This window comes from Homo sapiens, chromosome X (assembly GCF_000001405.40).
Source record: "Homo sapiens chromosome X, GRCh38.p14 Primary Assembly".
In the NCBI taxonomy this organism is placed as follows: domain Eukaryota; kingdom Metazoa; phylum Chordata; class Mammalia; order Primates; family Hominidae; genus Homo; species Homo sapiens.
This window is the reverse complement of record NC_000023.11, coordinates 121055303-121080870: the sequence shown is the minus strand read 5'-3', so window position 1 is coordinate 121080870 and position 25568 is coordinate 121055303.

Genomic DNA, 25568 nt, shown 5'->3' with positions numbered 1-25568 from the left:
TATTTTGTCAGAAAAGTAGAAAGTGTAATGCCCTTTAGTTCACATGACTTTAGCAATCTTTGGGAAATAAAGATGGTTTTAAAGATTATTGGTAAAATATAATTGTCTTCAAAATGTGAACATGTGGTGTAAATTATGTTCAAATATTAGGTTTGCTAAATGCTTTAAGGTCATAAACTGCTTCTTTGGCTTTTGAAAATTGTTTAACTTGCCTGCTTTCCAGCTAGGTAAGGCCTGGGGATATGTGGAGTTCGCCACGCCCCCAGCTATGCTGAAAATAGTCAAACCTTATCAGAACATAACTTACCAGGTTTTACATTAAAGTTAAAATTGCTAAGAGTCACCATTGTAACATGCAATTAAGACTACTAGAAACAGTTTTACATGCAAGGTGTGGAAAAGCAGTACAATGTGGGGTTTTCTTTGGTAAAAGGTTTTTGCTTCTTTAAAATTTCTGAAACATCATTTTGGCAAAATAAATAATTTATGGTAATATAGAATTCCAAAATCACACTTCAGTTTCAAAATTGTCTTTCCTAATGCCTGGCTTTCTGGATGGATCAAAGGGCCCTTGGAAGCATCCAGAAAGGAGGTAAACAGGATTATTTGACATGTTTAGGTACATGGGATTGCCAAAATGATGTTCAATCTTCTTTAGGTTATATTTTTGTGAATAATACTAATATATGTTCCAAAATTGTATGGGATTTGTAAAATACTATATGCTATCAATTGTAATTATGGTTATTATGTTAAGTTATTGTAAACCACAGAAATAACCAAATTTCCTTGTATAAAGCTACTAACCCATGTAGAACCAAAATTAATTAAATATCAAGAAAATGCTTTGTCATGTTTTCATGTTAAACCTGCTGATACTGAAATTGTTTAAAATAGTTAATAACCAATGCTTGGCCCCATATTCCTGGGAAGACAATTAAAGCTTCATGTACATTTGGTCACCTGATGGGCCATTTAAACCTTTTATAAAGGGATTTCATTCGATTTTTTTTCTTTTTTTTTTATTTTTATTTATTTATTTTTTTTTGAAACTGGAGTCTCGCTCTGTGGCCCAGGCTGGAGTGCAGTGGCGCTATCTCGGCCCACTGCAAGCTCCGCCTCCCGGGTTCCCGCCATTCTCCTGCCTCAGCCTCCCGAGTAGCTGGGACTACAGGCACCCGCCACCACGCCTGGCTAATTTTTTGTATTTTTAGTAGAGACGGGGTTTCACCGTGTTACCCAGGATGGTCTCGATCTGCTGACCTCGTGATCCGCCCACCTCGGCCTCCCAAAGTGCTGGGATTACAGGCGTGAGCCACCGCGCCCGGCCTTTTTTTTTTTTTTTTTTGAGGTGCAGTCTCTCTCTGTTGCCCAGTATGGAGTGCAGTGGCACGATCTCAGCTTACTGCAACCTCTGTCTCCCGGGTTCAAGCAATTCTCCTGCCTCAGCCTCCCAAGTAGCTAGGATTATAGGTGCCCACCACCACGCCCAGCTCATTTTTGTATTTTTTAGTAGAGATGAGGTTTCACCATGTTGGCCATGCTGGTCTCAAACTCCTGACCTCAGGTGATCCACCATTCTCGGCCTACCAAAGTGCTGGGATTACAGGTCGTGAGCCACCGCGCCCGGCCCATTTGCTATTTTCAATGCATGTTTTCTGGTTGTATAAAAGCTTTCCCATGCAAGAGGGCTGATGTTATAACACTAGATTATTATGCTACAGTGTATTTTTACCAGGTAAGAATGCTTTTTATGGTTTGGATCTTCTGATAACATCAGAGCAAAACTGTCCTTGCCATCTACACTACAACAAAACCTCAGGACCTTGGGCTTTGGGTTCATAATCTCACAACTGAGAAGGGTCCCTCCACACTCTTGGAAATATGCACCCATTGGAACCCTCAAGCTAAAACTAACCAGAGAAATTTCTCCCAAGAAGAGAATGGCATCCTTGATGTGAACAGCTTTTCCCAAGTTCACAGATTAAGACTTCTATTACATGAAACTCTTATCTTTGAATATTTTTTCTTGCTTATGCCTCTATGAAAAATAGAAGTGGAAAGGGGGTCTGTTATGTGCACTTATGGGGTATTCTTTTATTTGTTGTGCAGAAGTTTAAAGCCAGCCTTATACATGGATAACCTTATACTTTGATAAATAAAAGATGAAGGCACAATGTAGGTAAGAAACTTTAATGCTGCATATGTTGCTTCATAATCAGTCAAAAACAAAACATTGGTTTACTCCTCTTAACCAACATCATGGGTTAAAGAGAACATTGCCAAAAGGCCTTCACTATTTTAAAAGTGCATCATTTGTTAGGTCCTTTCTCCATGGTTTAAAGTAAAAGAAGCAATGATTAGAAATGTATCCCTCATGATAGGTTCTATAGCAAATTCTACTGTAAAGGCTACAGTTACACAACAAACTTTAGATTCTCTTGTGAAACTTATGCTAAATAATAGAATTAGCTAAACAGAAAAGTACCTGTGCAGCTGCTAGCACTTGTAGCCTATGGGGAAATACATCAAATGAAGATTACAGAAAATCAGTGGTAGGGGACTGATGAAGAAGTTGCTTACTCAAGTGAGTAAACTCTTTATCTAGCTCATTCTTTGATCTATTTAGTTTTAGGAGGTTTGGTTTATGGGGACCTTGGGTAGAGAGTATACTCCAAACTCTTGGTATCATCCTCCCAATAATCATAATAATAGTCTCCTTGGTGCACTGTATTCTCTCGAAGGTTTTAAATGCTTGCATCCAGCCATCTCCAGAATGCCATATGGTCTCTCTTCAACTGGAATAACAGGAGCTGAAAGAAATGTGCAACCATGAGGACACTGTAACCTATGAATGATGCGCTGAGACCAGAAACCCAAAATGATGGTAACTAAGAGTGGTGCTAAGTAAGGTCCTAAGTTTTGGTCACACTCTTGCCTAAGTGAGAACCTGACCAAAAAGGGGGAATTTTTGAAACAAAATTCTGGGAGGCCATTGTTTTGGACTGAGCTCATGCACTAGGCCCCAGTAGACCAAACCAAACCAAACCAAAATGGAGTCGTTTGTGCTAAGACTTTAAGGAAACACATAGATTCTGGAACAGATCAGGTTTTGTTTTTTCTCTTGCAAATCTCTGTAGCAAACATTTCTGACAGTATAGCTATCTATCCCCTGAAGTTCCCATTAAATCTTTTAACCAAATTCATTTCCTGTCGCCTAGGGACCATCAAGCTTCAGATGATCATGCAAAAAAGGTTCCACCCAGTTCTAGGTGAAGACACCACCCCTGGCCATCAAGAAGCTACCCTGCCTCCACTAGATAGAGCAGGGTGAGTTTCATAATCCCCAATAGGTAGGAACTACACCCCAAGCCAGAATGAAGCAGTTACAGAAGAAAGACCTTTGGTTCTTCTGTCTCCCATAAAGATTTATGGGGATCACATCTCTTGTGGGGGAGATGAGGCAGGAAAATAGGGTGTGGAGGCAGGGAACATAAGGCCAATTAACACTTCAGCTATAACAGAAAATATCCTCTCCACAGAGCGTTGGCCAAGTAAATGACTTTGTTACTTTACTTCATCCTCTCCATTTACATAGGGCAGACTTGAAGTAACCAATGGAATCCTCTAGGGTGTATTTAAACTCCCAAAAATTCTGTAACATGGCCTTTGAGCCCCTATGCTCAAGCCCACTCCCACACTGTGGAGTGTACTTTCATTTTCAATAAATCCCTTCATTCCTTCCTTGTTTTGTTTGTGCATTTTGTCCAATTCTTTGTTCAAGATGCCAAGAACCTGGACACCCTCCACCAGTGACAATACCATATAATCAGGAAGGAATCTCCAATACCCCGCTTCTCACTGAGGAGTAAAGAGTTTGGACCACATATATAGTGCCCCAACTTTTATGGTTTCCCCAGAGGCTTTTGCTCTCAAATCACATAGCCCTGAAAATGAAAGGTACTCAGCATTCTCAGGTTTCCCTAGGCCGCACACAACAAAGAGGTGGTTTTGAATGAGTACAAAGGAATGTCCAGTAGCTGTAGTGCCTGAGATAAGTCCACAGGGAATGGGCTAAAATGTCCAGCTCCCTATATCTCCCTGGAAGTGGTTTGTCTGCACACTTTTACATCTTTTGCCAGAGAGTCAGGCTTCTGGCTAGCCTATATCTGGGAGCAGATGGGGCAAATAAACTATAGACTTCCATGAGCTTGAATGGAAGTATAGGTACTTCCCAGGCCTCATCTCTCAGACAGTGGCAGACATAAATCCATGTGTACAGATTCTTTCTAGAAGCAGTTTATGCATGCATCAAACACCCTATATTAGTCCTTTCTCACACTGCTATAAAAGAACTGCCCAAGACTGGGTAATTTATAAAGGAAAGAGGTTTAATTGACTCGTAGTTCTGTATGGCTGGGGAGGCCTCAGGAAACTTATGATCATGGTGGAAGGAGAAGCAAATATGTCCTTCTTCACATGGCAGCAGGAAGGAGAGATGCCAAGCAAAGGGCGAAAAGCCCCTTATAGAACCATCACATCTCATAAGAACTTACTATCATGAGAACAGCATGAGGGTAACCACCCCCATGTTTAAATTACCCCCCACTGGGTCCCTCCCATGACATGTGGGGATTATGGGAACTACAATTAAAGGTGAGATTTGGGTGGGGACACAGAGCCAAACACCCCAACTTTTGCAGCTCCCACCTCAGAGTCTGGCTCCTAAATCACCTAGCTCTGAGAATTGACAAGGCTCTGAATTTATGAGACTCCCTAGATAACAAAGAACAAAAAGGTAGTTTATTAAGAGAGTGTTAGATAAACTCCAGCTTTTAGTTTCTCCCTGAGGATAGAATGAACTGGAATACTCATCTAACACCCCCAACCTTTTCAGCTGCATCTTGAGGAGGTGGTTTCTACTTCACCTATCTGAAGGCAATAACAGGACTTGGCACATCCTTATCTACTTGGGGCCATTATGAACACAGACTGTGGTTTGGACAAGCAAGAGGATTTGAGAGGGACCTAGAATCTCTGACCAGGCTGATTGGTGAGATTCATCTCTTACACAAAGCCAGTCTGACAAGACTAGGTGCAGCAGTTATCTTATCTAATGCACGATAACTATCAGAGTCAAAGAAGAAATAAAAATTTTAAAAATATCTTGAGATGAATGTAAACTAAAACACAGCATAACAAAACTTATGGTCTGCAGCAAAAGCAGTAATAAGAAAAAAAGCTTATAACAATAAACATCTATATTAAGAAATAAGAAAAATTTCAAATAAATAACCCAACCATATACCTCAAGAAACTAGAAAAAGAAAAATTGACTAAACCCAAAGTTAGCAGAATAAAGCATATAACAAGGATCAGAGCAAAAATAAATCAAATACAAAATAATCAATACTAAGAACTGGTTTTTGTAAAAAATAAGATCAACAAATCCTTAGCTAGACTAAGAAAAAAAGAGAGAAGACTCAAATAAAATACAAATGAAAGAGGAGATATTACAATGGATGCCTCAGGAAAAAAAAAGAATATTAAGGGACTATTATGGACAGTTATATACCAGCAAATTGGAAAAATGGAAAAATTCCTAGAAATATACAACCTGCTAAGACTTAATCAAGAAGAAATATAAAGTCTGAATAGACCAATTACAAACAAAGCGATTGAAGGTAGTAATCAAAAACCTCCTAACAAAGAAAAGCTCAGGACCATATGGCTTCACTAGTGAATGCTACCAAACACTTAAGGAAAAATTACATAAATCCATTTCAAACTCTTCCAAATATCTGCAAAAGTAGGGACACTTCCCAACTCATTCTATGAGACAGCATTTACCTAAAATTGAAGCCAGAGAAAGACACCACACAAAAAGAGAAAACTACAGCCCATATCTTCTATGAATATAAATAAAAAATCTTCAACAAAATATTAGCAAATTGAATTAAGCAGGATATTAAAAAGATTATATTCCAAGACAAAGTGAAATTTATCCCAGGTACGGAAGGGTGGTTCAACTTACAAAAAGCAATCGTCGTAATATATCATAATATAGGAATTAAGGACAAAACTCACATATCATCATCTCAAATAAATTCAGAAAAAGCATTTGACATAATTCACCATACTTTCATGATAAAGACTCTCATCAAATTAAGTATAGAAAGAATGGCCTCAACATAATAAAGGCCATATATGATAAGCTAACAGCTAAAATGATTATACTGGAAAAGGCAGAAAGCTTTTCCTCCAACATCAGGAAGAAGACAAGAAATGCTAACTTCACCACTTCTATTCAATATATACCAGAAGTTCTAACCAGAGTAATTAAGAAGAAATAAAAAGTATCCAAATTGGAAAGAAAGAAATAAAATTCACAGATGACGTGATCTTATATGTAGAATTCCCTAAATGTTCCAAAGAAAACTATTAGAGCTAATAAATAAATTTACCGAAGTCTCTATATACAATTTCAACATGCAAAAAATCAGTTGCATTTCTATACAATATTTATAAACATTCTGAAAGGGAAATTAACAATTCAACTTATGAAAAAGAATATAACGTTTAGGAATAAACTTAAGAAGGCACAAGATTTGTATGCTGAAAACTATGAAATATTGCTGAAAGAAATTAAAGAGACTAAAATAAATGAAAAGACAGCCTATGTTTTTGGATATAAGATTTAATATTGTTAAGATGGCAATACCCCACAGCACATGGATAATTCTCAAGGATAGACCATATGATAGGTAACAAAAAAGCCTTAAAACATTCCAAAAATTAAAATAATATCAAGCATCTCCTCTGACCACAATGGAATAAAACTAGAAATTAATAAAAAGAGGAATTTTGGAAACTATACATTGAAAAATGCATGGAAATTAAATAATATGCTCCTGAATGACCAGTGGATTAATAAAGAAATTAAGAAAGAAATTAAAAATTTTCTTGAAACAAATGATAATGAAAACGCAACACACCAAAACCTATGGGATACAGCAAAAGCAGTACTAAGAGGGAAGTTTACAGCTATAAGTGCCTACATCAAAAAAAAGAAGAAAATTTTCAAATAAACAATCTAAGGATGCATCTTAAAGAGCTAGAAAAGCAAGACCAAATGAAACCCAAACTAGTAGAAGAAAATAAATAATAAATATCAGACCAGAAATCAATCAAGTTGAAATTTTAAAATAATACAAAAGATCAATAAAACTAAAAGTTGGTTTTCTGAAAAGTTAAACAAAATTGACAAACCTTTAGCCAGGCTAACTAAAAAAGAAAAAAGACCCAAATAAATAAAATCATAAATGAAATGGGAGAGATTAAAACTAATATCACAGAAATTCAAAGAATCATAAGTGCCTACTATGAGCAACTACACACCAATAAATTGGAAGATTCAGAAGAAACTGACAAATTCCTAGATACATACAACCTACCAAGAGTGAACTAGGAAGAAATCCAAAACCTGAACAAACTAATAACAAGTAATGAGATCAAAGCCATAATAAAATGTCTCCCAGTAATAAAAAGCCTGGGACCTGAAGAATTCATTGTTGAATTCTACCAAACATTTAAAGAGCTAATACCAATCCTACTCAAGCTATTCCAAAAAATAGAGGATGAGGGAATACCTCCAAACTCACTGTATGAGGCCAGTGTTACTCTGATAACAAAACAAGACACAGACACATCAAAAAAAGAAAACCACAGGCCAATATCTCTGATGAATATTGATGAAAATCCCTCAACAAAATACTAGCAAACCAACTTCAACAATACATTAGAAAGATTTATTCTTCATGACCAAGTGGGACTTATCTCTGGGATGCAAGAGATGGTTCAACATACACAAATTAATCAGTATGATACATCATATCAACAGAATGAAGAATAAAGACAATAATTTCAATTGATGCTGAAAACAAATTTGATAAAATTCAACATCTCGTCATGATAAAACCCCTCAAAAACTGGGAATAGAAGGAACATACCTCAACATAATAAAAGCCATAAATGACAGAGCCACAGCTAGTATCATACTGAATGGGGAAAAACTGAAAGCCTTTCCTCTAAGATCTGGAACATGACAAGGATGCCCACTGACACCACTGTTATTCAACATAGTACTGAAAGTCCTAGCTAAAGCAATCGAACAAGACATAGATATAGATAGGTGGGACTGTAAACAAGTTCAACCATTGTGGAAGTCAGTGTGGTGATTCCTCAGGGATCTAGAACTACAAATACCATTTGACCCAGCAATCCCATTACTGGGTATATACCCAAAGGACTATAAATCATGCTGCTATAAAGACACATGCACACATATGTTTATTGCGGCACTATTCACAATAGCAAAGACTTGGAACCAACCCAAATGTCCAACAATGATAGACTGGATTAAGAAAATGTGGCACATATACACCATGGAATACTATGCAGCCATAAAAAAGGATGAGTTCATGCCCTTTGTAGGGACATGGATGAAATTGGAAATCATCATTCTCAGTAAACTATCGCAAGGACAAAAAACCAAACGCCGTATATTCTCACTCATAGGTGGGAATTGAACAATGAGAACACATGGACACAGGAAGGGGAACATCACACTCTGGGGACTGTTGTGGGGTGGGGGGAGAGGGGAGGGATAGCATTAGGAGATATATCTAATGCTAAATGACGAGTTAACGGGTGCAGCACACCAGCATGGCACATGTATACATATGTAACTAACCTGCACATTGTGCACATGTACCCTAAATCTTAAAGTATAATAAAAAAAAGACATAGATATTAAGGCATCCAAATTGTAAAGGAAGAAGTCACATTATCTTTGTTTGCAGATGATATAATCTTGTATTTGGAAAAACCTAAAGACTCCACAAGAAAAATGTCAGAACTCATAAAGATATTCAGTAAAGTTGTAGGATACAAAATCAACATACATAAATCAGGAGCATTTCTATATGCCAACAGAAAACAATGTAAATAAGAAATTTAAAAAGTAATCCCATTTACAACAGACACACATTAAATTAAATACCTAAGAATTAACCAAAGAAGTGAAATATTTATATAAGGAAAACTATAAAATACTGATGAAAGAAATTGAAGAGGACAACAAAACAGGAAAAGATATTCCATGTTAATGGATTGAAAGAATCAATATTGTTAAAAATGTCCACATTACACAAAGCAATCTACAGATTCAATGTAATCCTTATCAAAATACCAATGACATTCTTCATAGAAATAGAAAAAAAAATCCTAAAATGTAGATGGAACCAAAAAAGACCCAGTGTAGCAAAAGCTATCCTAAGTAAAAAGAATATAACTGGAGAAATCACATTGCCCGACTTCAAATCATACTACAGAGCTATAGTAACCCAAAACAGCATGATATTGACATAAAAATAGACACATAGTCCAATGGAACAGAATATAGAACTCAGAAACAAATCCACACACCTACAGTGAACTCATTTTTGACAAAGGTGCTAAGAACATACACTGGGGAAAAGACAGTCTCTTCAACAAATGGTGCTGGAAAAACTGGATATCCAAATGCAGAAGAATGAAACTTGACCTCTATTTTCCCCCATATAAAAAAAATCAAATCAAAATGGATTAAAGACAAATCTAGTACCTCACACTATGAAACTACTACAAGAAAACATTGAGAAAAATCTCCAGGACATTGGTCTAGGCAAAATTTTCTGGAGCAATACCCCACAAACACAAGCAACCAAAACATAAATGGACAAATGATATCACATCGAGTTAAAAAGCTAATGCACTGCAAAGAAAACAATCAACACAATGAAGAACAACCCACAGAATGGGAGAAAATATTTGCAAAATACTCATCTGACAAGAGATTAATAACCAGAATATATAAGGAGCTCGAACAACTGTATTAAAAAAATCTAATAATCTGATCAAAAGATGGGCAAAATATTTGAACAGACATTTCTCAAAAAGAAGACCTATAAAGTGACAAACAGGCATATGAAAAGGTGCTCAACATCATTTATCATCAGAGAAATGCAAATCAAAAATACAATATCATCTCACTCCAGTTAAAATGGCTTATATTCAAAATGCCATGTATATGTGTGTATATATGTATACACATTGCAATACACTGTATATATATACATCCCACATATATACATACAATGAAATATTATTCAGCTTTAAAAAGGAAGAAAATTCTGACACAGGCTACAACATGGATTAACCTTGAGATCATTACGCTAAGTAAAATAGCCAGTCACAAAAAGACAAATACTATAAGATTTCACTTATATGAAGTACTCAGAGTAGTCAAATTCATAGAGACAGAAAGTAGAAAAGTTTTCAGAGTTTCAGTAGCTGTACATTTTAAAATAACTTAAAGAGTGTAATTGGATTGTTTGCAACTCAATGGATAAATGCTTGAGGGGATGCATACCCCATTTTTCATGATGTGCCTATTTCACATTACACCAAAACATCTCATGTATCCCAAAAATATATACACCTACTATATACTATCAAAAATTAAAAATAAAAAAATTTAAATGGCAATACTACCCAAATCAATCCACAGATTCAATGCAACTCCTATGAAAATTTCGATATTTTTTACAGAAATGGAAAGACCTACCCTAAAATTTATATGAAATTTCAAGAGACCCGGAGTAGCCAAAACGATATTGAAAAAGAACATTAGAAAATTCATACTTTCTGATTTTGAAACTTACTACAAAGCTACAGTAATCAAAATAGTGCTGTCATATGTACAGACATATAAACCAGTGGAATTGATTAAAAATTTTTCAACAAGAGTTCTGAGATCATTTAATGGGGAAAGAACAATCTCTTCAATAAATGGTGCTGGGAAAACTGGACAACCATATGCAAAAGAATGAAGTTCAACCTGTACATTATATCATATACTAAAATTAATACAAATGAATCAAAGGCCTAAATCTAAGAGCTAAAATAATAAAACTCTTTGGAGGAAATATATGGGCAAGTTTTTATTACCTTGAATTTTGCAATAGTTTTATAAATATGACACCAAAAGCACAGACAAAAAATAAAAAAAATACTTCATTAAGATGAAGAACTCTTGTACATCAAATAATCAAGAGAGTGAGAAAAGATATTTGCATATCATAATCTGGTAGGACTTAACATCCAAACTATATGAAGGTCTTCTATAACTCAGCAACCATCTAAAAACCCATTTTAAAAATAGGCAAATTACAAGAGTATACTTTTTTGGTAAGAAGATATATATATCATCATCATTAGTTATTAGGAAAATTCAAATCAAAGACAACTCATTGGAGACACAACTTCATGTTTACTATAATAGCTATAATAAAAAATGTAAAGGAAAACAGCAAGTTTTGTTGAGGATATGGAGAAATTAGAATCCTTGCACATTGCTGGCGGGAATGCAAAATGGTGCAGCCACTATGGAAAACAGTTTGGAGGTTTCTCAAAAAGTTAAACATAGGATTATTGTATGACCCAACAATTTTACTCCTAGGTATATACCCAAAAGAACTGAAAACAGGGATTCAAACAGATACTTGTATACCAATGTTTATAGCAGCATCATTCACAATACCCAAAAGGTGGAAACAATCCATGTGTCCAGCAACAGTAGAATGAGTAAGCAGAATGCAGAACAGTCTATGCTCATTATTCATGGCATTTATGTTCTTTCTTTTTTTTTTTTTGAGATGGAGTCTCGCTCTGTCACCCAGGCTGGAGTGCAGTGGCGCGATCTTGGCTCACTGCAAGCCTCGCCTCCCGGGTTCACACCATTCTCCTGCCTCAGCCTCCTGAGTAGCTGGGATTACAGGCACCTGCCACCACGCCCGGCTCATTTTTTGTATTTTTAGTAGAGATGGGGTTTCACCATGTTAGCCAGGATGGTCTTGATCTTCTGACCTCGTGATCCACCTGCCTCGGCCTCCCAAAGTGCTGAGATTACAGGCGTGAGCCACCGTGCCTGGCCTATTCGTGGTATTTATGTTCTATAGCATTGTCATTAGCACCAAATTAGCAAATACTGAACTACTGTTCCTAGGGAAAATTCAGGTTTAGGTATGTGTGAGCCTCTTAGGCCATAATATTTCCATCATCTCATCAATACATAACCTTGTTTTATGTGTATTTCTTATTTAATATATAGTTGATTTATTTTTACTAAACTCGCAGCCAACAGCACTATAATTCATACCTGAACAAAGCTTATATTATACATTATTTTTTCTATAAGGCACATCACAGCCTTCTTGTGCTTAGAAACACTAGAAAGCACTTCGACACTATGCTTCTGGGCCATTCTAAACAGCAAAATCACCCAAAAAAAAAGCAGAAAAATGCAAAAACCATGGCACTAAATAGATAGCAAAGAGGACACTTGTTTAAAATATGAGAGCTGAAACAAAAAGGCAGACTATCACTTTGTTCAACCTCAACTAGGAATATGTGCATAAAGAGACTCAAATTTTTTTCTGTTCTGAAAAACTGCTTCTCTGAAAAAAATAAAATTGCTGTGTGAATGACTGCATAAGTGTTGATTCTGATTTTAGGGTTACAAATCTAGAGGTGATTTAAAGTGCATGGGAGAATGTGCCTAGATTATATGCAAATACTATGCCATTTTATGTAAGGGACTTAGGCATCTGTGGATTTTGATATCCACAGGTGTCCTGAAATCCCCTGTAGATACCAAGGGAAAACTGTATTCAGGTGGTGGCTTGGCTGGTATAGAGGATCCAAGACACATCACTCATATTCCTGGTTCCTTGACAAGAGCAGCTCAATGATACTCCTCCTCCTCCCTATGGAGTCTCAGAGCTTCTCCACATGGTCCTTTTAGCAGGATTTTGAGACATGGTGGCTCAGGGCTCCATGAAACCAAGCAAGAAGCTTCCAGTACTTTTACCAGCTAGGCCCAGCAATGGCACAGCATCAATTCCACCATACTCCATTAGCCAGAGCAGGGACTAGCCAGCCCAGATTCAAATATAGGGGAAGTAAACACCAACACTTGATGGAATAAATGTCACAGAATTTGAAGCCATCCTTAATCTACCACAAATACTTAACCAAAATAGCTAAGAAGTTATCTATTCCAGTTCTGAACATCTCCTGCCCCACATTGTTTATTCCCACACAATTTTGTCCCTGCAACAGTAGCTTTATACTCTAAGATATTTTTACTAATAGAAATGAAGTATATGACATGAAACTCAGGCTTTAAGATCTTTTTTGAAATCTTTGATGAATAGGTGGGATGGACAGAAGTTTGTCACTTCAAGGTCTGCAAGAAGTTCCATCTCTTTAGAGATGAAGATTTTCGGTCAGTTTGGGGTACAGTATTCCTTCATCTTATTTTGGGGAAAATTGTTAAGCTATATGCAGAGACTATAGACTTAAGTTTCAACTGTACTGTTTAATAAATTACGTATATCTTTAGCTGAACTATGAGGAGTTAGGAATATTTTAATATGGATTTTTATTTGATTGTCTCAGAAAATTATCTTTAAAAATTCTAAGTAGGTCTTTTTGTCCAAATACTTGCTCCCAAGAAATTGGAAGAACAAAACCATGCCATGGAGAATATATAGATCTCATAATTTCTTCACTTCATACTAGAGTAAAGACTGTAAAAACCAAATGAATGTGTAGGTTAAGTGTTCTGGTTTTTAAGTATAAATGATGTTTATGGTTGAGCAAGGACTCTATTTCTGAAGCTTTGTGTAACATAAGGGTGAGTAAAAAATTTTGCTATACTATGTATGAACTGAGATAATATTATGACTGAAACATTACTTGTGATTGTAGAAATGAGCATGGACCTTTTTGTTTAGCTTTAGTTTGTTTTTGTTTTGTTAAGAGATATCAAGATATATTACATTCAGGTAACATAGCTTTGGTGCCTAGGGGACAGACATTCTCCCTATCTCCACAAAGAGCCCAGCACCCTCTAATGCCCCAAAGACATGTGACTTAGAAAAATAACACCCTAAGCATAGATACTGACAATTTTCTGAAGGATAATCCCAATGCAAGCTACAGTGAGGCTCCACTAAACTGCTTCAAGAGCGGTGGATATTAGCTGAAGGAATAGGAGAAAAATATCATGGCAGTTGTAATGTGGTAATTATAGTGGGCAACAGGCTTGGGAACACATTTACTGTACACTTTTGAAAAATTCCAGATACATGTGTATACATTCCAGAAGGGGAGGGTTGCTAAGTTCAAGATATGAGGCCAATGAAAGTTCAAGCTATGGTAATTTGAGCATCAAATGTTAGGGTGTCTGGGAAGTATTTCTTAAACAAGACTCAAAAAGTACAAACCATAAAAGAAGATTAATAAATATGAACACACTAAATAAAAAAATTCTGATGATCAAAGTCACCATGAGAAAAGCAAAAAGATAAGCCACAAATTAAAGGAAGGTATCCTCAACACATATGACACATGTATTAGTACCAAGATGACATTAGCAATTAATAAAAATAAATTTAAAACACTGTTCAGTAGAAAAATGGACAAAAGACACAAAAATGCATTTCACAAATAAGAAAATAAGAACAACCAATAAAGATAATTTAAAATGTTCAAACTCATTAGTAACTAAAGAGATTAAAAATAATATCACAATAAGCTCTCACAATAAACTCACCAAGGTAAAATTGTAGATATGCATACTCTATTATACAGCAATTCTACTCATAAGTATTTGCCCCAGAGAACTTCTCACACTTCTAACAACATACACAGTGTATTAGTCCGTTTTCATGCTGCTGATAAAGACATAACCCAGATGGGACAATTTACAAAAGAAAGAGGTTTAATGAACTCACAGTTCCACGTGGCTGCAGGGGTCACTTCCCACAGTCCAGGGCCCAGGTGGGGAGCAGTCCTGCAGCCAGACAGGCTCCCAACAGTGACCACCACAGGCCAAGCCACAGTCTTCCTTCAAACCCCCTAGGCAGGTCAGTCTCTCCTCCAGCTCTGGGAAGGGCATCATCTCCAGAACACCTGCGCCTGCGGACAATCCGCCGCTGTGTGGCTGGGGAGGCCTCACAATCATGGCAGAAGGTAAAAGGCAAATGTCACATGGCAGCAGACAAAGAAGAGAATGAGAGCCAAGTGAAAAGGGTTTCCCCTTATAAAACCATCAGATCTCATGAGACTTATTCACTACCACGAGAACGGTATGGGGGAAACTGCCCCACGATTCAGTTAACTCCAACTGGGTCCCTCCCATAATACAAGGGAATTATGGGAGCTACAATTCGAGATGAGATTTGGGTGGGGACACAGCCAAACTATATCACAGAGCAACATTTTAAATATTTATTGACAGAAAAATGAACAAATTATAATATAGTCATATAAAAAAGTATTATAGAACAATGAAAATGAATGAAGAGGAAGACAAATTTTGAGGGGTTAGCAAAATGGCAGATAGGAGACAGGACTACATTATAGCCCCCACTCAGACAGACAGAGCAGCATGTGGAGACTCACGTTGTAAACTTTTGCTCCAAGAACTACCACAGGAACATACCAGGAAAGCCAAGAGAATCCATAGACCCTTTGAAAGAAGTGAATTGCTCCTGCAGGCCCTGGGAGACAGCCCAAACACTGTGAGTGCCCAAAGTGTGAAAGTGTGAAAGGGGGATCATCTGCCCCCAAACACACATCATCACTGGGGAACATGAAGTTCCAGATCATGGGAGAAGGATTTGACCTTACCTGGAACAGAAACAATTTTAGAGAGCTGAGCCAAACACAGCGGTAGAAGAAGCATGGGGAAGAGCCCTGTGGGCTCTCTTGGTCCCCAGGAAAGCCATTTCTGACTTTGTCTCACAGAGGTCCTTGGGAAGGGCTGCCAGAGGAACTGGGAAAAGACCACAGGGAGAAGTAAACTTCAAGTTGAACTTTATAACAATTTCAACTGAACGCATAGTTTCCTGGACAGAATTTGAGGGACGGGGTGAATGCAGAGTGCAGACACAGCACAGAAGCTGCGGCAGGTTGGGGGTACGAAACCTGAAAGCTCTGCTTACTTTCACATCAGGGAGGCTGGTAGAGTGGGGCAAGTTCTCAGCCCTGCTCACCCACTGCCTGGAAACAAACTTGGTGCTGTTGCAGGGAACATGGTGGGAGTGAGACTGGCCTTTTGGGCTGCGTGGGAGCTGAGCAACGCCTGTAACTGTGGGAGTATTTTAGTTTAATTAAGTCTCATCTATTTATCTTTGTTTTTGTTTCATTTGCTTTTGGGTTCTTGGTCATGAAGTCTTCGCCTAAGCCAACGTCTAGAAGGGTATATATATATACATATATATATGTATACATATATGTACACATATATATACACATATATACATATATACACATATATATACATATATATGTGTATATATATATATATATAATCTTTGCTTTGTTGAAGATCAGTTGGCTGTAAGTATTTGGCTTTATTTCTGGGTTCTCTATTCTTTTCCATTGGTCTATGTGCCTTTTTTTTTTTTTTTTTTTTGAGATGGAGTCTCGCTCTGTCGCCCAGGCTGGAGTGCAGTGGCTCACTGCAAGCTCTGCCTCCTGGGTTCACGCCATTCTCCCGCCTCAGCCTCCCGAGTAGCTGGGACTACAGGTGCCCACCACCATGCCCAGCTAACTTTTTGAATGTTTTAGTAGAAACAGGGTTTCACCGTGTTGGCCAGGATGGTCTCGATCTCCTGACTTCATGATCCGCCCGCCTCAGCCTCCCAAAGTGCTGGGATTACAGGCGTGAGCCACTGTGCCTGGCCCTATGTGCCTATTTTTATACCAGTACCATGCTGTTTTGGAGACTATGGCCTTATAGTATAGTTTGAAAAAAATCATAGATGACACAAACAAAAGGAAATACATCCCATGCTCATGGATGGGTAGAATCAATATTGTGAAAATGACATAGTACAACCACTATAGAAAACAGTGTGGGGATTGCTTAAAGAACTAAAAGTAGATCTACCATTTGATCCAACAATCTCACTACTAGGTAGCTACCCAGAGGAAAAGAAGTAATTATGCAAAAAAGATTCTTGCACACACATGTTTATAGCAGCACAATTTGCAAATACAAAAATATGGAACCCGCCCAAATGGCCATCAATCAACTAGTGGATACAAAAAATGTGGTATGTATATACACCATGGAATATTACTCAGCCATTAAAAGGAACAAAATAATGGCTTTCACAGAAACCTGGATGGAATTGGAGATTATTATTCTAAGTGAAGTAACTCAGGAATGGAAAACCATACATTTTATGTTCTCACTCATAATTGGGAGCTAAGTTATGAGGACGTAAAGGCATAAAAATGATACAACAGACTTTTGGGACTCGGTGGAAAGGATGGGAGGGTGAGGGATAAAAGACTACATGTTGGGTACAGTGTACGCTGCTTGGGTGATGGGTGCACCAAAATGTCAGAAATCACCACTAAAGAACTTATTCATGTAACCAAACACTTGTTCCCCAAAAACCTATTGAAATAAAAAAAATTTAAGTTAGAAAGATCTCAAATTGACAAGCTAACATTGCATCTTAAGAAACCTAGAGAAACAGGCTGGGTGTGGTGGCTCACTCCTGTAATCCCAGCACTTTGGGAGGCCGGGGCGGGCGGATCACCCGAGGTCAGGAGTTCAAGACTAGCCTGGTCAACATGGTGAAGCCCCGTCTCTACTAAAAATAAAAAAATTAGCTGGGCATGGTGGCGTGCACCTGTAGTCCCAGCTACTCGGGAGGCTGAGGCAGGAGAATCGCTTGAACCCGGGAGGCAGAGGTTGCAGTGAGCCAAGATCACGCCACTGCACTCCAGCCTGTGTGACAGAGTGAGACTCCATCTCAAAAAAAAAAAAAAAAAAGAAATCCTAGAGAAACAAGAGCAAACTAACCCCCAAAGCTAGCAGTACAAGATATAGCCAAAATCAGAGATGAACTGAATGAAATTGACATGTAAAAAAAAATTCAAGAGATAAAGGAAACCAGGAGTTTTTTATTCAAAAGGATAAGATTGGTAGACTGCTAACTAGAATAATAAAGAAAAATGAGAAAATATTGAAATAAACACATTCAGATATGAGAAAGAGGACATTACCACCAACCCCAAAGAAATAAAAGAAACCCTTCGAGACTGTTACGAACAGCTCTATGCACATAAATTAGAAAATCTAGGAAAAAAATCGGTGAATTTCTAGACACATACAATGTCCAAAGATTGAACCAGGAAAACACAGAATCCCTGAAGAAACTAATAATGAGTTCTGACACTGAATCAGTAATAAAAAGCCTACTAAGCAAAAAAAAAAAGCCCAGAACCAGATAGATTCACAGCCAACCTCTACCAGATGTATAAAGAAGAACTGATACAATTTCAACAGAAACCATTCAAAACAACTTGAGGAGGAAGGCTCTCCCTAACTCATGCTATGAGGCCAACATCATCCTGACATCCTGACTTGTCTCAGGTTCACAGATTAAGACTTCTATTACATGAAACTCTTATCTTTGAATATTTTAGCCCTAGCTAAAGCAATCAGACAAGAGAAAAATATAAAGGGCATCCAAATTAGAAAGAAAGAAGTCAAATTATCCTTATTATAAGATCGTATCAATCTTATAATTGGAAAAACCTAGACTCCAACAAAAAACCGTTAGAACTCATAAATTCAGTAATATTGCAAATACAATATCAACACACAAAAATCAGTAGCATTTCTGTATACCAACAGATTAATTGCAAAAAGGATATCGCTAAGGTATATAGTAATCAGGATATCTAAAATCAATATGAAGGAAAGAATTCTAAGACCAGTGAGACAAAAGTATCAAATAACATATAAAGGAAAACCTATCAGATTAAGAGCATACTTCTCAGCAGAAACTTTACAAGTCATAAGGGATTAGGGTCCTAAGTCTCCTAGAGGAGAATAACTGCCAGCCAAGAATTTTGTATTCTGCTAAACTAAGTTTCATAAATGAAGAAGAAATAAACTTTTTCTCAGGCAATCAAACATTTAGGAAATTTGCTGCCACTAGAACAGCATTACAAGAAATACTCAAAGGAATTTCAAATATCAAAATGAAAGGTCTATATGCATCAATATAAAAACACTTGAAAGTATAACTCACAAGACTTGTAGAACAGTAACAGAATGGAAAAACAAACAACTAGGTAACAATCAGCTTGGTGATGGGAATAGTATTTCAAATACCAATATTAACTTTGAATGTAAATGGTCTAAGTGTCCCACTGAAAGGATGTATATTGGCAGAATGTCTTACAGAAACACAGTCCAAATATCTGCTACCTTCAAGAGACCCACTTAACTCATAAAGATCCTTATAGACTCATGGCAAAAAGATGGGAAAAATATTTCACACAAATGGAAACCAAAAATGAGCAGAAGTAGCTTTTCTTCTATCAGATAAAATAGATTTTAAATCAATAACAGTAAAAAAAAAGAAAAAGAATGTCATCATATAATAATAAAGGGTTCAATTATATATATATAATTGAAGATATAACAATCCTTAATATATGTGCACCCAACACAAGAGCTTCCAGATTAATAAAAGATCTACTACTAGACCCAAGAAAAGAGATTGACAGCAATACAATAATAGTTTGGGACCTCAACACTCCACTGACAGCACTAGACAGATCATGGAGGCAGAAAGTCAACAAATAAACACTGGACTGAAACTGGACTCTAACAGATATTTACAGAATATTCTACAAAAAAATTCAAAATATACATTCTTCTCATCAGCACATGGAATCTTTCCAAGATAGACCATATGAGAGGCCACAAAATAAGCCTAAATAAATACAAAAAATTCCAAATCATACAAGTACCTTCTCAGACCACAGGACAATAAAACTAGAAATCAACGGCAAGGGAAACTCTCAAACCTATAAAAATACATGGAAATTAATCTGATCCCAAATAATCTTTGGATAAATGATAGAATCAAGAAGAAAATTTAAAAATTTTTCAAACAAATGATAACAGTAACCCAAGTTATTAAAATCTCTGGGATACAGGAAAAGCAGTGCTAAGACAATAGTTTATATTGCCAAATGTCTACATCAGAAAGAAAAATCACAAACCAACAACCTAACATAATACCTTAGGCAACTGGAAAACCAAGAACAAACCAAACCCAAAGGCGGCAGCAGAAAACAAATAAAGATCAGAGCGGATCTAAATGAAATTGAACCCCTGCCAAATACAAATGATCAATAAAAAGAAAAATTTGTTTTCGAAAAGATAAACAAAATTGATAGTTAGCTAAATTAACCAAGAAAAGAGAGAAGATTCAAATAAGCTCAATCATAAATGAAAAGGGAAACATTACTACTGATACCATGGAAATACAAAAGATCATCTGAGACTACTATGAACACCTCTATGTGCACAAACCAGAAAATCTAGAGGAAATGGATAAACTCTTGGAAACATACAACACTCCAAGCTTGAATCAGGAAGAAATAGAAACTCTGAACAGACTAATTATAAGTAGTGAGATTGAATCAGTGATAAAAATATCCAAACAAAAAAATACGCCCAGGACCAGACAGATTCACAGCCAACTTCTACTAAACATTTGAAGAACTGGTAGCAATTCTACTGAAACTATTACTAGAGCTTGAGAAGTAGGGAATCCTCCCTAACTCATTCTGTGAAGCTAATATCACCCTGATACCAAAGCCAGAGAAGGACATAACAATAGCAAAAATAACTACAGACCAATATCCCTCATGAACACAAAAATCTAGCCAACCAAATCTAACAGTACATCAATAATTCACCAAGATCAAGGGGGTTTTATCCCAGGGATCCAAGGATGGTTCAACGTAGAGAAATCAATAAATGTGATTAACCACATAAGTAATTTTTTAAAAAATATGATCATTTCAATAGATGCAGAAAAAGCACCTTATCACATTCAGCATCCTTTCATGATAAATATCCTTAACAAACTAGGCATCAAAGGAACATACCTAAAAATAATAAAAGCCATATATGTCAAGCCCACAGTAAACATCACACTGAATGGGGAAAAGTTGAAAACACTGCCCCTGAGAACTGGAACAAGACAAGGATGCCCACTTTCACTACTTTTATTCAATGTAGTACTGGAAGTCCTAGCCAGAACAGTCAGGCAAAAGAAAGAAATGAAGGGCATCCAAATTGGAAAAAATAATGTCAAAGTATCTGTTTGCTGATATCATCTTCTATCTTAAAAACCCTGAACACCCCTCGAAAAGCCTCCTAGATTTGATAAATGAATTCACTAAAGTCTCAGATTACAAAATTAACATACACAAATCAGTAGCTCTGCTATACACAAATAATGACCAAGGTGAAAATCAGATCAAATCAATTCCATTTACAATAGCTGCAAAAAAACCCCTAGGAATATACTTAACCAAGGAGCTGAAAAATCTCTACAAGGAGAACTACAAGACACTGATGAAAGAAATCATAGGTGACACAAACAAATGGAAAAACATTCCATGCTCATGGATTGGAAAAATCAATACTGTGAAAATGACCATACTGCCCAAAGCAATCTACATATTCAATGCAATTCCTATCAAATCACCAATATCATCATGCACAGAATTAGAAAAAAATCTTAAAATTCATATGGAACCAAAAAAGAGCCTAAATAGCCAAAGCAATCCTAAGCAAAAAGAACCAAGCCAGAGACATCACATTACCTAACTTCAAATTATACTACAAGGCTATAGTAGCCAAAACAGCATGGTACTGGTATAAAAGTAGATACATAGACCAATATAACAGAATAGAGAACCCAGAAATAAAGCCAAATACTTACAAAACAGCTGATCTTTGACAAAGCAGACAAAAGCATGCACTGGGGAAAGCACACTCTTTTCAATAAATGATGCTGAGAATATTGGACAGCCACATGCAGAAGAATGAAACTGGACCCTTAACTCTTACCATATACAAAAATTAACTCAGGATGGATTAAATACTTACATATAAGACCTGAAACTATAAAAATTCTAGAAGAAAACCTAGGGAAAGCTTTTCTGGACATTGGCCTAGAAAAGTAATTTATCAGTAAGGCCTCAAAAGCAAATGCAGCAAAAACAAAAATAAATAAATGGGACTTCATTAAACTAAAGAAGCTTCTGCACAGCTAAAGAAATAACAGAGTAAACAGAAAACCTGCAGAATAGGAAAAAATATTTGCAAGCTATACATCCAACAAAAGGCTAACATCCAGAATATGCAAGGAAATCAAATCAGAAAGAAAAAGACAAATAATCCCATTAAAAAGTAGGGAAACAACATAAATAAACACTTCGCAAAAGAAAATATACAAATGGCCAACAAACATATAAAAAATGCTCAACATTATTAATCATCAAGGGAATGCAAATTAAAACACAAAATGAGATACCACCTTACCCCAATCAGAATGGCCATTTTTAAAACATAATAAACAGTAGATATTGGTGTATATGCAGTAAAAAGGGAATGCTTGTACACTGTTGGTGAGAATGTAAATCAGTACAACCTCTATGGAAAACAGTATGGAGATTTCTCAAAGAACTAAAGTAAGTCTACCATTTGATCTAGGAATCCCACTACTAGGTATCCACCCAAAGGAAAAGAAGTCATTATATTAAAAAGATACCTGCACTCATGTTTATCATAGCACAATTCACAATTATAAAGACATGGAATCAACCTAATTGCCAATCAACAGATGAGTGGATAATGAAAATGTGGCATATCTACACTATGGAATACTACCCAGTCATGATAAAGAATGAAATAATATCTTGTGCAGCAACTGGGATGAAACTGGAGGCCATTATACTAAGTGACACAACTCGGGAATGGAAAACCAAATACCACATGTCCTCACTTATAAGTAGGAGCTAAGCTATGGGTATGCAAAGGCACAACTACAGCTGTCTTTCTCATTAATGATATCTAATTCTCTTTGGTCTTTGTTGAACTATTTTGTGGATATTTATATTTTACTGAAGGTACTTTAAATTCTTTTGGTCATAGGAAGTGTTTAAAGTCAATGGGAATGGATAAACAACTATGTGTTTCCTGAAGTATGCTTATTTCTACCATTACTTAAAATTTTCAGGTTTTTTAGGGCCTTACCAATTGTGGTTTCTCTCATAGTAAGACTCTTGTAAGTACTTTGGGGAGCTTTTATTGGGTGCCCCCAAGAACATGGAGAAATGAGGGGGACAAATTGACCTCTGAAATCAACATGTAGGTCAAGTAGATCTATAAATTCACCTGAAATGAGATGGTTCTAAGACCATAATTACTGTTGTACTGTATTATTATATGTAGATAAAGACCATATCAATAAGAAAAAGGTGCAGCCAATTGAATAAGCAAAGAAAAAAGAGATTAAAGAAGACATATGTTAGCTGTATCCACCCAATCATGCTCAAGAGAGAGCTGAGCCAATGCATTTCTAATACTTTGACCTATTATGGAGAGCATCCCAATGTGTTGGATATATTGGGCTACCCTGACACCTTAGGCATCAGGGTTTGATTGATTTTATTTCCTTTGTTATAATTTTAAGCTTATTAGGTAAATCTTCTGTATTAGGCCATTCTTGCATTGCTATAAAGAAATATCTGAGACTGGGTAATATATAAATAAAAAATATTTAGTTGGCTCACAGTTCTGCAGACTTTACAGGAAACAGTGGCATCTGCTTCTGGGGAAGCCTCAGGAAGCTTTCAATAATGGCAGAAGGTAAAAGGGGAGCAGGTGCATCATATGGCAAAAGCAGGAGCAAGAGAGAGAAGAGGTGGAGGTGCCACACACATTTAAACAACCATATATTGTGAGAATTTAAAGTACCTTCAGTAAAATATAAATATCCACAAAATAGTTCAACAAAGACCAAAGAGAATTAGATATCATTAATGAGAAAGACAGCTGTAGTTGTGCCGGAAACTAAAGATGAGATTATTACTGTAATCAAGTTTTAAATTCAGCAATATGCATCTTGATAGCCAAGATAGAAAGGTAAAGTGGCATCAAGTTGTACCTCCCAAAAGAGAATATAAATATTCTTTGGGAATAATTCCCAAAGTCTGGTTATGTTATTTGAGTTGCTCCTTTGTTCTTTTGTAAACAATATCACTGCTCTTCCTAGTCAAAAAGGACACTACTGACCCAAGATTGGTAGACTGAGGCATTTTATTGCTTGATCTGAGCCAGTCATGTTGTCATGACTGGCCCTCAAGAATATTCATTCATGACCAAGGTTGCAAGTACTATCTGTGGGACTTTTGAAGACAAAATTACCTAACTGGTCCCCAAAAAGATAAAAACATTAGTCATGGCTTTGTTAGACCCGAGGTGAGCAAACCACTGAGTTCGCTGGCCATTAACTCACCTAAGCTCTACAGCAGTGAATCTCAGTTGTATATACTACCCAAGCAGACTCCACAGTTCTTAGGAGCCCACAGACAGTGAGTTTAGGAAAGCCCAGAGTTAAATGTAATGATCACTATTCAGGTGATGCGTACAGTAAAAGCCATGACTTCACACAATATATGCATGTAAGAAACCTGTACTTATGCCACCTAATAAAATATATATAAATTGATATATATATACATATATATAAATTTAAACCAAAATAAATAAATAAAGTAAATGGATAGTTGAATACCAATGTGGAAGTTTCATTCACTTAACAAATGTTCCTGAAGAAACAACATACTAATACCTTTTTTAGGAATTATTTTCCAAATATTCAAACACATTCCAATAATGGAGTACCTTTTTTTTCATAATGAATTAGTCAGAATCCCACCCCGGGAAACAGATGGCACATTCAAAAGGAAAATTTAATATTAAAAAGGGACTCTGTATAATGCTTTAGGGAAAAGTAAGGAAAGCCAATAAGGGAAGGTGAAACATGGAGACCGGGAGCCTTTACCACCTCCCTTACCTGAAGGGACAAGGGAGAGAGGAATAACCAGAACCTGTAGAGAACATTAGAGGAGAGCTACCAAAGAGGAGCTGAGGCCTTCAGTGGAGGAACAAAGGCAATTCCAAACCACATCAGAAAGGGAGTCTAGCATAAATGCCTCAATCTCTCTTTTCTCCCAACTTCCTGTCAGTACCTACCATTGACTAAACCAATCAAAAGTCTGAAGAAAAGAGAGTCCATTGATGTAGCCAATAAAGCTCAGCCTCCCAGGGAACAAAACAGGGTCCCAAAGGGATCTAGACAACAAAAGAATGATATTGAGAATTCACATCTAAAACATTTCATTTCTTCACTGTATATATTAAAGGCAGAAAACAATATTCTGTGACATACATTTTACATAATTAACAACATAAATCTATAACCTTCAGCAGAGTACCTGCAATCATTCATCAACATCAATTATATATCTTAGACATCCACTATGTATTCACCACTAGT